The 13,873-nt window shown below is 41.8% G+C and overlaps 1 protein-coding gene across 11 annotated transcripts in view, besides 1 other annotated feature; it reads left to right on the top strand.

The window, feature by feature from the left end:
• KIF6 (kinesin family member 6) overlaps nucleotides 1–13,873 on the top strand; it is a 395,419-nt gene that overhangs the window by 303,857 nt on the left and 77,689 nt on the right. For all 11 annotated transcript variants that reach the window (XR_001743238.2, NM_001289020.3, NM_145027.6 and 8 more), the window contains one exon: nucleotides 1,549–1,604. Coding sequence is in view for 10 of the 11 variants with exons in the window: in NM_001289020.3 (NP_001275949.1) it covers nucleotides 1,549–1,604 (56 nt within the window). In the remaining variant the exon portion in view is untranslated. The remainder of the gene's footprint in view (nucleotides 1–1,548; nucleotides 1,605–13,873) is intronic.
• Nucleotides 4,202–4,702: an enhancer, noted in NCBI's record as "H3K27ac hESC enhancer chr6:39384626-39385126 (GRCh37/hg19 assembly coordinates)". NCBI's record gives its function as "activates a minimal SCP1, AML or CMV promoter by ChIP-STARR-seq in primed H9 embryonic stem cells {active_cell/tissue: H9 hESC(primed)}" and the evidence as "EXISTENCE:reporter gene assay evidence [ECO:0000049][PMID:30033119]".

Raw genomic sequence — 13,873 nt, 5'->3', positions numbered from 1 at the left:
GCCTTTGCTTTTGTTGTTCCCCTGCCTGGAATGCCCTCCTCTGCTCACTTCCTCCAACACAATCCCAGTCAACTAAAGTGTTCAAGGATGAAACAATAGGATATCTGGGATTTGCCGGGATATTAGAGATGGGGAAGTGAGAAGAGAAGAGTGCGGAGGAGGAGGGGAAATAGTTGAAATAAAACTGGACAATTAATAAAATGTGATACTGGGTATGTTAGGGTTCATTCTACTATCCTGTGTATATTTGGAAATTTTCATAATAAAACATTTTCTAAAAACTCCTGTGGATCCACAAAACCCAGGTCACTCCCACCTTGTACATGAAGCTTTCCTGACAGCTCTCCGCTCACTCGTGGACAGGCCACTCCCTAGTCAAACGCTAATGGCATGACTAGCCCCGCCAAGGTACAGCCATTTAATTCAGCTATCTATTAGGTGCTTGCTTTCATAGGCTTTCAATTGTCTCTTTAACTTCATGGCAGAAAGGAGAGGAGGGAAAGCAACTAACATTTCATGAGGGCCCACTATGTATAGGGACTGAACTACATGTTCTCACATAGGCCATGTCCTGTCTGCTTCTCTAGCGCAAAGTTGGCTCATCGTGGGTGTCTCAAACATAGGCCAGAAACATAAAGGAATCACTCACTAAACATTAGCACAGCAATCTAGTAGACTAGCATGAAGCCATCAAAGGTATGCATCTCATAATACAGGGAAGGACTTATGTTACAATGCTAAGTGAAAAAAAAACATCGGGGCACAAAATCATATCTGTATTATGATCCCAACCCTATAAAAACTGGCTCTATAAAAGACGGGGTGGATACGTGTATCCAATGTGCTTATTTCTGGGTAGAGGAGTACTTGAGAATTTTTTTCTTGTTTTTGTATTTTCAAAATCTGGCTTAATAACGGTATATAACAGGAATCAGCAAACTTCTTCTATAAAGGGTGAGGTAGAAAATATTTTCAGCCCTGTAGGCCACGCAGTCTCTGTCACATCTAGTCGACTCTGTCTTGTAGCGTGAAAGCAGCCACAGAAAATGCGTCAGTGAATAGGAGTGGCGGTGTTCCAGGGCAACTTTATTTACAGAAACAGGCAGCAGGCCAGATTTGTCTCATAACCAGCCATAGTTTTACAACCTCTGATATATTATTTTATAATCAGAAAAAAGTTATGTAAGTATATATTCTTTGGTTATAAGATCTTGGTATCATAATCAATAGAACACAGCACAGAAACCTTACAGCCAGGCTTTATTCTGATATCTTTGCATCATGAAATAATATAAATTAAAAGTCATAAATGAGAGACTATGAGAATACAAATTCTGTGCTGGATAGAGTAAAAATTAACAATACCTATAATTAATACCAATTTTCTCTCTATTTTTAAGCCTAATATATTTTACTTATTTAGATTTTTCTTTTGTGTCTTTCAATAAAGTTTCATCATATTTTAGTGACCTCTAAGAAATCTATTATTTTTAAAACATCTTGTAGGATGAACAGAAAAACTACAATTTTCATTTTTTTCCCCTCCAGATTTTCTGAAGCCAAGGCCCTGGGAGAAAGTATAAATGAAGCAAGAAGTAAAATTGGTAAGCAGATGATATTCTGTGAGCCTCTTTCAGAAACCATTTTCCTGGTGAAAATCAGGTCATGATGTGCCTCCAAATGGCCATGAAGCCCCAAATGGCCAGTTTCAGGAGAGCCCCTGCCAAGGAAGCTGCTTTGAGAGCCTTCCCTAGGAAGTGTGTGATCCCTCCCACCACCCAGCAGGAAAAGCACTTTCTTTTGTCTAGAACTTGAACTTTTCATCCTCAGGCAGACCTGAGCTCCAGCATCCCAATCAGAGAGTTGTGCTTTTCCCTGGTGTTTTTCAGCAGTAGCTCAGCTAATCATAACTTCACGGTTACAGTGAGACGTCATTTCGTATTTCAAGTATGGGGAAACACTCTTACACCTCCCAAAGCTTCTGCTTAGCATATTTGGCACAGGTATGATATTTTAGCATCAGTCAATAAGCTGGTGGAAGGATAAGAAGCAAAAACAAGCCATCGTGCCTTCCCAAGGTGGAGGCTGCCACGGAGGGCTCCCCACTTAGGTGAGTACCCCTGCAAAGGTGAAGTTAAGGCAAGAGGCAACTCAGTAAAATGTGCCTCGAATTCTCTTTTTTTTTTTTTTTTTTTTTTGAGACAGAGTCTCACTCTGTTGCCCAGGCTGGAGTGCAGTGGCGTGATCTCAGCTCACTGCAACCTCCACCTCCCAGGTTCAAGTGATTCTCCTGCCTCAGCTTCCCATGTGACTGGGACTATGGGTGCATGCCATCACACCCAGCTAATTTTTGTGATTTTAGTAGAGATGGGGTTTCACCACGTTGGCTAGGCTGGTCTCGAACTCCTGACCTCAAGTGATCCACCCACCTCGGCCTCCCAAAGTGCTGGGACTACAGGTGGTGAGCCACCACACCCAGCCTCAAATCCTTTTAAAAGTAAGAGGACAATGTTTTTTTCATCCCAAACTAAAAGATACCACAGAGACCCATCTCCCAGGCCCAGGGCAGCTTCACAGAGGCGATCCCTGTGCCTCACCTCTGTGCTGGAGAAGGCAGCAGTTACTGGCTCACAGCTGGCCCGCTGGGTCTCTCTTACTACCCCCTTTTCTCCGCCTACAAGTGAGGACAGGACAGAAGCCACTGTGAGTGCCCCCTTTAATTTTTCTAACAGAATATAAAAATCACGATAGCCTCAGTTTGTCTCGGTCGGTAAACAGGAGCCCCACAGTCCCCTCTGTGGCCTGAGACAGAAGGGGCTGAGGCAGCCAGACCCAGAGACACAGCCAACAGCCACACTCAGAATCCTTGTGTCTCAGGAGTTCTTGACCTAAGGTCCAGGATCTTGATAGGAGAGAAATGCCCCTGTATTTCTACTAACCTCTAACTGAAACTTAGCACCACCTCAATGATGAACCCAGTGGAAGTCACAGAGGCCTGCATGTCATATCACAGAGGGGCAGACGTTGTAAAATATCTTTTGTGCTATCAGTACAAAATTACAGTGGTTATTAGACTCACCATTAGATCTTTTTATTTAATACATTTATATAAAAGTACATAGATATTTCTGTATCACAAAAGGTTTTACAATTTTGATAACTATTTCAATATAATTGGTTTATCTTAAAAGCCTGCGTATTTTAATTTATGCACCAAATTATTATCCTGAGAAGGGGTCCGTAAGGTCATCAGACTGCCAGAAGATCGCTGGCACAAAAAAAGATTTCAAACCCCTTTCTTGACCTGGATTCCTGAACATCCTAAAACTGCATGAGAAAAACTGGGAGTTAGGAATGTTTGTATTTTTCTGAAGATTATGTCCATCCATAGCTCATCTGATTCTCAGAGGGCCCAGTCACCCACACCAATAAGGAAATTGATCCTAGGCTGATCTCCTTCAGGTGGGAAGGCAGACACTCTGCTGGGGGGCATCCCAGTCCCAGACAGTGGGCAGTGATAGTCTACTTGGCTTGAAGGGGAGAAGGAGGGAAAGAGGAAGCTGACTTCAGTGGAGCCAGGGCCAATTTGTCAGCATCCTCTTACCTCAAGGGACCCAGTGGTCTGTTTTCATCCTTGGAGGGATAAGAGAGAAGACCTTTTATAAACTGTTTCTCCCTAAGAAATAATATAAACTTTTGCTCTTAAAAAATATCTTACTCTGTAAACCAAAATAAAACCGTTCCAACATTAATGAAATAGACTAATGATGGAAGGCACCAATTGACTATACTAATATACTTAGTTTTTTCACTCTGAGTACAATGGAAATAACTACAAATTCCCCATAACTGTGGTGCAATCGTGTATGTTGGTGGAGCAAGTTTGCCACATTCTGAAGATTAGGCAGGTTGGGGGCTGCCTTAAAATCTGCACAGGTGTTTCCTGCCCAAGAGCCAAGGGCCAACCAACTGAGGGCTGTCATTTGATCTGCCCAGAGAAGATGTCTGCTTATAATTCATGTTCAAAGGGCCCAGATATGCTAGGAGAAGATCTGGACAAGTAAACATTTGTTTTATCCAGAAAATAACAAGCATAGTTCACACCAATATTGAGATTCAAGCTTCCATTGCTGCCAAGAACATAGTTAATTCAGTGATGCCTATAAAGCCAATGCCAGTCTTCACTTCACTTTATGCAAATACCACAGTGAGACCCATTCCTGGCCACCCATCTTTCAAATTGTGCTCTAATCCAAGGGGCCCAGGTGAGTGGGTCATTGAGACTCAGCCGTATTACTGAATACCCCCTCACGGTGCTTGACCTCAGGGAGTAGCCTGCCATCACGACATCTCAGACACCAGGTTAGGACTAAGGAGGAGGAAGGTGGAACTTGCACACACATTTAAAATTTCCAAGGCAACCTTGAAGGACACAAGTTTCTGGAAATTTAGGATATGAGTGAGTGCATTTTTCTTAGGGAGAAATGAAATCAAATGGAATTTGCAGTCCCCAAGGAGTCCTTCAGTGAATCTAGGAGGCAGGAGGCAGGAGCATGACATGAATTTGCCCTGTCTGCACGGGATGGTGCCTCAGCTCCACTCCCAAACTGGGCTACATCCTGCCTCTGGACCCTGAGGCAAGATTGAGATGCCGAGGGGTACACACGTAATTGGCCTGCAGAGAAGAAACAAAAGCTGTATTTGTGAACTGCAAACCAGTCAGCCCACATGTTTAAAGTTCAGGTTGCCACTGTCTCCTCGGGTAGTTTGTTTTTTCTCTGACATTGTGATCCACAGCTGCCTCTTGAGCTGCCTTCCTTCTCAAAACTCCCTAAAGGCTATCAATTTAGTAGTGGCTGTATAATATCTAATTTTTATATGGCATAATCAGTCTGAACTTCCATATAATTTCCTTCTCTTAAAAGAAGCCAACCCAACTAGGTAGATAAACTCTTGCCACAAACTCCTTTTTGTCTTTCTCTAGACGCCATTTACATCAATCCTGATGTTGAAATAAGTTGAAATAAGAAATGGGAGGAGTAACCAATTTAAAATCTCCCTGAAAAATAATAAGAGTCTGTGTTTCTGTCGGAGAGCCATTTTTATTGTATCTACCTGTTCCATATACAAGATCATTCGGCTGCTTTTCTTCACATGGGCTGGGGTTTCGCACATGTTCATTTACACCCTGCTTCCATCTGTCATGTCTCCAAAAACGCCACTGAGCCCAAACTGGGAAAAGAAGTAGACTGCTTTAGAGGCAGTGGCATAAGCCAGGCATGGTTTTGCTTACTAGAATCCAGGCATTAGTTTTTTTACATCATCACTGTTTTACCACTGGCAGCATTGTCTTTGGCAACAAAGGACAATGAATGGCTGTTCACTGGCTTAAGGCCCACTCCAGACTAGTCCTGAAACAGCTGCCTTGCAGGCAGGTAAAAGAGCTTGACTGACACCTCTTGGCACCTCTTCATCCCTCCACAGACCCCTCCAGGCCTAAATGAAAACTCACATCACAGGAGGCTGCACAGTGGGTTTTCACTAGTGAGGCACTCAGCAATCAATTCAAAAATCACGGGGAATGTAATAGAAGAAGCTGTTAGTGAGAGGCAAAGAAAGAGAAAAACAAACACTAGAAAAGCTAGCAAAATATTCTGGAAGTTTTTTTCCCCCTACTCCAAATTCAAAGAACCCCCCAACCCACCATTTGACCAATGCCCTTTTAAAAAATGTTTCTCTTGTACATCTGGGATTTGGGAAAATCATTTCTCAGATCTGGGTCTCTGTCGGCAGAATAAACCAGACTGTTTTTGCTATTTGTCAGTTCTGTGCATGTTCTGTACTTAAGCGTCATTGGAGGTTTACTTTTGGACCTACCTCCTGCATGTCTGCTTCTTGTAACTTATCCTGGAGTAAGGAAAAGACAACATCCAGGCTGTTTTGCTAGATTATGATGACCCGGATCAAGTATATCCTTTTGTTACTATTTGTTGCCAGCTCCAAATTACAAGGACAACACCAGCAGTAACAGCAGCCTTCAGCATTTATTGAGCACTTACTCCAGGCTGGCCTGAGAACTTGACCTATGTTATCTCATTTAATCCTCACAGGGAGGAGACACACCTGTAAGGTGGGTTTTACCATATATGTCACAGATTCTAAGGACACAGTTTTTACACTCTTAACATCTGTGTTGTCGGGATGTATTTAACCGTCCCATTTGGCCTTTTTTTTTTTTTTTTTTTTTTTTACATTTTAAAAATCTCTGTATTGGCGATTGGTCTTCTAGTTGACATTGTCTTAGATTCTATGAAATATGGTATTTTCACTGTTTTATAGGTTTTGTTTCTTTGTTTGTTTGTTTTGAGACAGAGTTTCACTCTGTCATCCAGGCTGGAGTGCAATAGCGCAATCTCGGGTCACTGCAACTTCTGCCTCCCGGGTTCAAGCAATTCTCTGCCTCAGCCTCCTGAGTAGCTGGGATTATAGGCGCCCACCACCACACCTGGCTAATTTTTTGTATTTTTAGTAGAGACAGGGTTTCACCATCTTGGCCAGGCTGATCTTGAACTCCTGACCTTGTGATCCACCTGCTTCAGCCTCCCAAAGTGTTGGGATTACAGGCATGAGCCACCACACCTGGCCAGATTTTTTTTTTTCAATGAGTTGCAGTGAAATGGCCTTTGTAAGTGGCCAGACTAGAATTTCTGTCCAACTCCAGAACTTTTTAACACTATATATGATCTCCATAAATTCACATTTACCTGACTTTGACATTGTCTTCTGAGTTTAAATTTCTCTCAGTTGTTATTCAGTTTCCCTGATTCTTTGGCCTTTATCCTACACGATATGCCTAACAAAAGGCTCAAACTAGACCCTAGCTCAGGAGCTTTGAGCATAGCCCACGAAAATTAAAAGTCTCTTTGTAGCGTGATTAATGACAGGTCATCTTTGGCACTTTGGGGCCCAGTTGTGGCAGTGAGTGGGGCTGAAGTCCAGCCTGCCCTTGCTCTCCATCCCATGTGCGCCACTCAGCGTTACATCTGCCCATAGGAAGGCACACCTTTTTCTAGTTTGCACAAAGGTCCCCCATGGGTTTGCAGCAGCCGTGGTAGGATTCAGTGTCCCACATGTGTTTCAACTATCATTTTCAGTGGTTTGGAGAATAGAGTTGAAGGGTTGTATTCTCAGGCTGTATACAATTCCAACTGAGTGGGTTTACTGATGCTTCAAAAAATACAAAAGAATTCAAAGCATAAACGTAGATGTGGTTTAGTAGGAATAGGTGTAATGAAATATTTATGCTTATGTACCAAAACCAGCACAAATAAGGACTCGAGAAAGCCTGATTAAGGGCAGGCAGAGGAGTCATCGGGGACCAGAAAATCAAAATGTGTTACCATAAAGTAAAAAAAAATATTATATTCTCAAAAGTAAGAAATATAAAAGCCAAGATGTCATCCCTTCCCTCTACCCAGCATTTCCATGTCAACATTATACTGCATTTCCTCAGTAATTCCAGATCCCTACAAGAATAGAAATGGTTCAGAGAAAAGCAGGTAAAGAGATGATTTAAAAGTTACAAAGTAATTTTTGATTTATTAAATGATTCACCACATTTATTTTCAATAACACACTCTGCTAGTGCACTAGAGTATTGTCTGATTTTTAAAATTACGCTTATCAAAAACTTCAATTAATTTTTTGTACCCAACTTGCATTGGTTACAATGTTTGACTGTAAGAATAGAAGGAAATGTGTTGTCTCAGGTAAGTGGGGAATCTAAGGAGTACAACTAGCTTCAAATGCATCTCTCTCTCCTCTCCTCTCCTCTCCCTCCTTGTCTCAGTTCTGCTTGACTACATTGTCTGACAGCCTCTCCCCAGTTAGTGGCAAGATGCCCCTGGCAACTCCAAGTTTACGTGGTCTTTAGAATTCGTACCTTCGTTGAAAGGGACCTTGCCCAACAACACTGGCAAAAGTCATTGGAGGGACGAATGATCGACCTGGCTTAAGTCAGGTACCCATCTCTGAACCAATCCCTATAGCCAGGGGAATAAAACACTCTGACTGACTAGGCCTAGATCATGTCCCCACTCCTCAGGCAGGTGCTTAGCCCATCTGCACCACATAAACTGAACAAAATTTTTAAGGAATAGAGCAGGTATCTTTCTCCAAAGGAAGAAATGCTAAGCACACAAAAATTATGTTTACTACAGACCTTACAGAAATTTATCTATGGCCTGAAATAGGAGACATCTGTAAAGCAATGGGAGGTAGTTCTTATGAGAAAAGACAACAGTTAGACTTCTTTATCCTGGAAAAAAGAAAGCTGTGAATGGGGAGCTTAAAGATTGGATTTAAGTATAGGTGCTATAATGGAACAAATACAAAATGGCACACTGAAAACTCGGGGATTATAGGAAAATTAAGACTGAGGGAGACCACTCAGAACCCACACTGCTTTAACTCTAACAAAACCAATTACAACCCTATTAAAAATAATGATAAAAATGGCATGCTAAATTCCTAATACATAAGGCAACACAATCTATTATTAAAACATCAGATTTTTTTTTTCCAAAATAAGGTTATCATGATAGAAGAGGATTTAAGGAAGGGTTGAGGCTGCTGAGAGATGGAGACATGAGCATCATGTGCAGAGATGGGGGACAGCAGCACGATAAGCCCCCCCTAAGAGACAGCACCCAGCCACGCTGGACCACAAAAAGGAACATGGAGGCAAGGGGGCTGCAGTTCAGTCCTGCATTTCTCCACAGCTTCCTGGGCTCAGCTGTGCCAACTTACTTTGTATTCAGTTGTTTTTACTTGGTGGTGCAAAATTTTAACATACGAGGAGAAAATCCTATGTGAACAAATAAGACTATGTATTACACTGACATCAGTTCCCTGTTAACCAATTGCATATGAGATAATTCCTGTTAAAGAAACATGGTTGTAAGAGAACCGACTGTGTATTACTTGATGATATACAGAAGGACCAATAAATTATAATTCAGCTTTAAAGAGACTCCAAAAAGGAAGAAATAATTTGCAATTGTATTGAAAATGTATTTGATCACGTGAAAGAACATTTTGACAAGAAGGTTATTAAATGATAGAGATCACGGGACTCTTGAAAAGCAAGACACAAAAGCATCTTTCTGAGATGACTCAGGTATCTAGAGACGAAAAGAGCAAAGATGACTTATTAAGGTCTCTCTGTAACAGTTCAGGTATCACTGAAATTGCAGAATATTCCAAGACATGAAGTTATCTGAGTAACAACCCATAACCAGTATGACTGATATCTTCATGAAATTTAATGTTTTGCTGTCATAGTTTGGAGATCAAACAAAAAAAATGATTTGAAGCAAGTTGGAGGGCTGTAGTGTACCTTCACTAGCAAGATTGAACACTAATAATTATCATATATAGAGAAGGAAGCAATGATTTGGTTGGAATGCCACCAAGAAAAGATGGATGGCTACCTTCCAAGAGTCCTGACAGAGTAGTCTTGCCTTAGTGAGTGAACCAAGGTCCACGACCTGGCTAGGAGAACAGAGGAATGCTGACCCATGCCCGTCAAATGGACTGCAAATCAGGGGGACAACTTATTTATTTACCATGGTGGATGTTCTTTTATAGCCAGGAACTCTTAAACCACCTCTATCCATGGCACATCCTCCCAGGAAACAAGCTAGATTAGTTGTTGAAAGGCTGATAAGTGAGCCTCTCCAAGCACAAAGGGAATCAAAACTAAGAGAAGTAAAGAGTTTGGAGAGATAGGTTCCCATGGTCACAATTAAGCCTCACAAGGCTTCCATTGCTCACAGCAGTGAACATTCCTGCAACAATGATAGGCCTTGGTCCAATCCCTGCCTTCTCTGGACAGTGCTCACTCACCATTGCCAACCTGACTCATCTGTTCTCCAGGCTGACCAGCCTCCTTCTGCACACAATACCTCTTTCACCAGACACAGTAAAGCACCATTTGTGAGGCTTCTTCTTACTAAACCATAATTTTATCCCACTCCTACCTCTCCAGGATGAACCGCAAGTCACTTTTCATAGGATTTGGGGTCACAGAAACAATCACTTCTAGTTTGGCTCTTTTGATTTTAGAAACATAAACCTGATGAGCTAGCTCAGGGTTAGGATACATGTGTGGTGATGACAAGAATCCCATTAAGATACGATCATAAGATCTGAGGCCCCTCCAAGCTGTAATAGGAGCTGGAACCAGGACCTGGAGAGCCAAGAGGACCCAGGGTGGCCTTAGAGCCCAGCGTTCTGCCTCCAGGCCTCCCTCAGCGCCTCTTGCTCCCTCTGTGCCTGTCTGCTCTTGTAACCGGCTGGCCCTGCTGACCATAGTCCCACTTCCTCATGGCTTTGGTCTTCCCTGGTCCCAGCTGTACCTGAAAATATCCTTTAATATCCAGTCCCCAAGGCTAATGAGCTACTTATCTGCTTATTTCTTAGCTCAAAGGTATGAGAAAGAGAATTTGACTGGACCAATTTGTGTTTTCTAGGCCTTTAGGACAGTAGCTGCTGGCAGGCTTAAGCATGTGCTGCTTTGGGGTCAGGAACCCACCTCTGGTCCAGGAAACTATGACCAAGGAGGAAAAGAGGTCTTGTATGTCAGAAAGTGGTCACCTAGGCAGCAAAGGGGAGGAAGCTCTCTCTTTTAAAAAGGGTATAGGTAGGACAGGTGCAATAATTGATATCGCATATGCTCTTGGTTTTATCTCAGGGAGAGCTGTGTGAAGATTTTTTGCTAGTTCAGCTCTTATTAGGTGACATCAATTCCTTAATTTCCAGGTTCTCAAAGAAGCAACTCACTATTGCCCCTTTGTTTTACCAGTAGTAATAGTGATTAGTAAGGTACATTATAATTTATAGTACATTATTATTTTTCATACAGTCAAATCCATTGATCTTTTCTTTTATGAGTTCCTCCATTGCTTTCATATTTAGAAACAGTCAATGTAATAATAATAATGGTAGGTTGTTCATTGTCAGGGATCTGTTTAATACCTTCCTAAATTTACTTATAGTGTTTTTTATATTGTTCAATTTTTCACACTCAACTCATTTAGGATTTATTATAGAATATGGTATGTAAGCTGAGGCTCTAAGTTGAATCTCTTTCAAATAACCAACTTTCTCAACACCTATTTCATTTTAATGAAATGCCTTAAAATGAAATTTCTTTCCCTTATGGGAGAGTCATTTCACATTTTCAGAAAGCAGCTGATGCATTCTAAATCTCATCGTAGTAGTAATGTACATTCTTGACATGATAATTTTCATTCAAGTATTTCAAAAATAACTTTGCCAGCAGATATTATTATCTAGATATCAGAATAACCCTGCAGAAAAGTGGCAGCTGTATATAAACCAGGACTCCTGGATGCAGAGCCACAGGGGCATATTGGTAAGCGTGTGGTCCCTCCAGGCTGAGGCCCTCTCGGCACTCTCTAAAAGGAAGGAGACTCTCTTTAAATATACCAGCAGGAACTGTGCTCCACTGACTGATTTGCCCAGGGCAGATAGTTGGTAATTTGTTGTTTCACTTCTAAGAAGGAAAAGTGTGTTTTATTGTCTTGTATTGATTAGAAGGATGAACATTTATAGCTGGGACAGAGGTGGGGAAGAGGGTTTTGTCAGTGATGCTGAACAGGGAATACCTGCAAATAGCAGAAGGTTTGCTGTGTCTCTTGTCAACTACTCTGGAAACACTGATGAGTCCCCCTGTTGAAATCCACTGAGAGCCTCCAAAAGCAGAACACACAAGGGTGGGAATAGCCCTCCTCGCAGCCGCCATTCCACTCAGCATGGAGACGGCCTCAGTTTGGTGCTGGCTTCATGTGGTAACATGATCCTGTGGACCAGACTGGCTCTCTAACACATAGTCTGCACCAGAACTTATTGAAGCCAGCCTAAAAGTATGCATGTGCAGCCCTACAGCAAGCTGTTTGTTAAAGCACAGACCTTCAGAGGAGATAGTGAAACACCACGCAGACACTTGTCCATCCTCAGGGACTCAGCACTCCCCTTCTGGCAGGTAGATGACTGCCACTGGGCAACATTGAAAAAGCAGAGATGCTCCCAAGCACATCTAGGCTATGTCACTGATGAGGCATCTCATGAACAAAAGCCCAGCCCAGGCAGTTTCGGTGGCAAAACTAGTAACAGCAGGACCCTGGCAGCTACCTGAACAAGGCCAAAAGGGTGGCCAGGGACTTCAACTAGGAGTGCCATGGGGACTTCCCAAAGTCAGGTGTCAATGCTTGGACAGAGATAGGATTGCCTGAAAGGACTGGTGGCAAACAGAGAAGCCCACTGCCAGTGACTGTGTATCTAAGCACAGACCGTAGGCCAGCAAGAGTCAAAGAAGTAGAGTCCCCGTCATCATCATAATAGCTAACTTTGATAGAGGCACTATTATTATTATAATACCCCTACTACAGATGAAGAAACTGAAACTTATGAATATTGCTCATATTCATACGCAATATTCCTTTATTGCTAGTAAGGGATGGAGCTAGTAAGGGATGGAGCTGACAATAAAGGAAAGAGGCAGAGAGGTTAACGGGAAGAGGACTAAGTTAGTCAAGGGAGGACAGGCCTTCCTTCCTAGGTTCTCTCCCTTAATCTGGAGTTCAGAAAGTCATAGATTCATTGGGGTGGTGGGTTTTGTCTCTTTTTAACTGCATAAGTGATTCATGGGTACATTTTGCCATAGTTTGAACAATACATTAATATACATAGCAAAATGTAAGCAGCCCACACATTTTCTCTCACCTACTACCAATCATGCCCCTGCCCCAGAGGAGAGTAGCCACTTTCAACAATTTGATGTATCTCCTTCCATCCTCTTCTGTGCATTTGGAGAGAAAGAAAGAGAGAGAGAGAGAGAGAGGCACCTATGTACAAAGATATCTTGTTTTGTTGCATAAATAGGACCATAAAGTATCATTCTGCCCCCTTGCTTTTCTCATTTAACAGTGAGTATGTTAAATGAGAAACTCACCATTTTTTATGGTGAAATAAACTATGTAAATACTATTAACTACTTTCTTGTAACAGACATTTCACCTTTTTTTCCAGTTTTTCTCTATTACAAACAGTGCATGCATTTTTGTGTACAAATGTGAATGTTTCTTTGCGATAGATGAGTAGAAGTAGAATTAGGGGGAGCAACAGTATACGTGTATTTTTAACTTTCATGACTACTCCCCAGTTGCCTTCCCAAAGAGCTTCATTAGTTTATATTCCTTCCAGTGTGTGACAGTACTCATTTCCCTGCATCCTTGCTTGTACATGATCATATCAGCCATTTTAGTTTTTGCCATTTGGAGAGCAAAATATGGCATTTCGTTATTGTTTTCATTTGCATTTCCCTAAGAGCTGGTGAAATTGAATACTTTTTCATGTATCTCATATTCTCTGCCCATTGGTTAGTTGAATTTCTCTTTCTGAGTTGTAGGAGCTCTTTGTGTCCTCTGGATATTAGGCCTTTGTCTATAGAATACGTAGCAGATGTTTTCTTCCAGTCTGTCACTTGTTTTAATTTTCTCTTATGATTTTTGGAAGAACCCTAGGACAGTTGCTTTTTTCTGTTTTTCAAGTTGCTTTAAATTGGGAGGTACTGACTCTACCTCACTATAGCACTGGCCCAAGGAAGATATTTAAAGTAACCTTGGTCACACTACACTGATTGTCACTAAAAACATGTCCAGATCAAAACTAGAGATGGTGATTTCAGATCATTTGTTTCAGAACCACTAACCACTACATGAATAAATGACTCCTGCATACAGATGGTTAAAACTTGCACCAGACCACAAGTCTGATGAGTTTACTGCTG

Source organism: Homo sapiens, chromosome 6, assembly GCF_000001405.40.
Source record: "Homo sapiens chromosome 6, GRCh38.p14 Primary Assembly".
NCBI classification, from domain to species: Eukaryota; Metazoa; Chordata; class Mammalia; order Primates; family Hominidae; genus Homo; species Homo sapiens.
The sequence above is the reverse complement of the archived record's forward strand: the minus strand, read 5'-3'. Positions and strand labels throughout refer to the sequence as shown.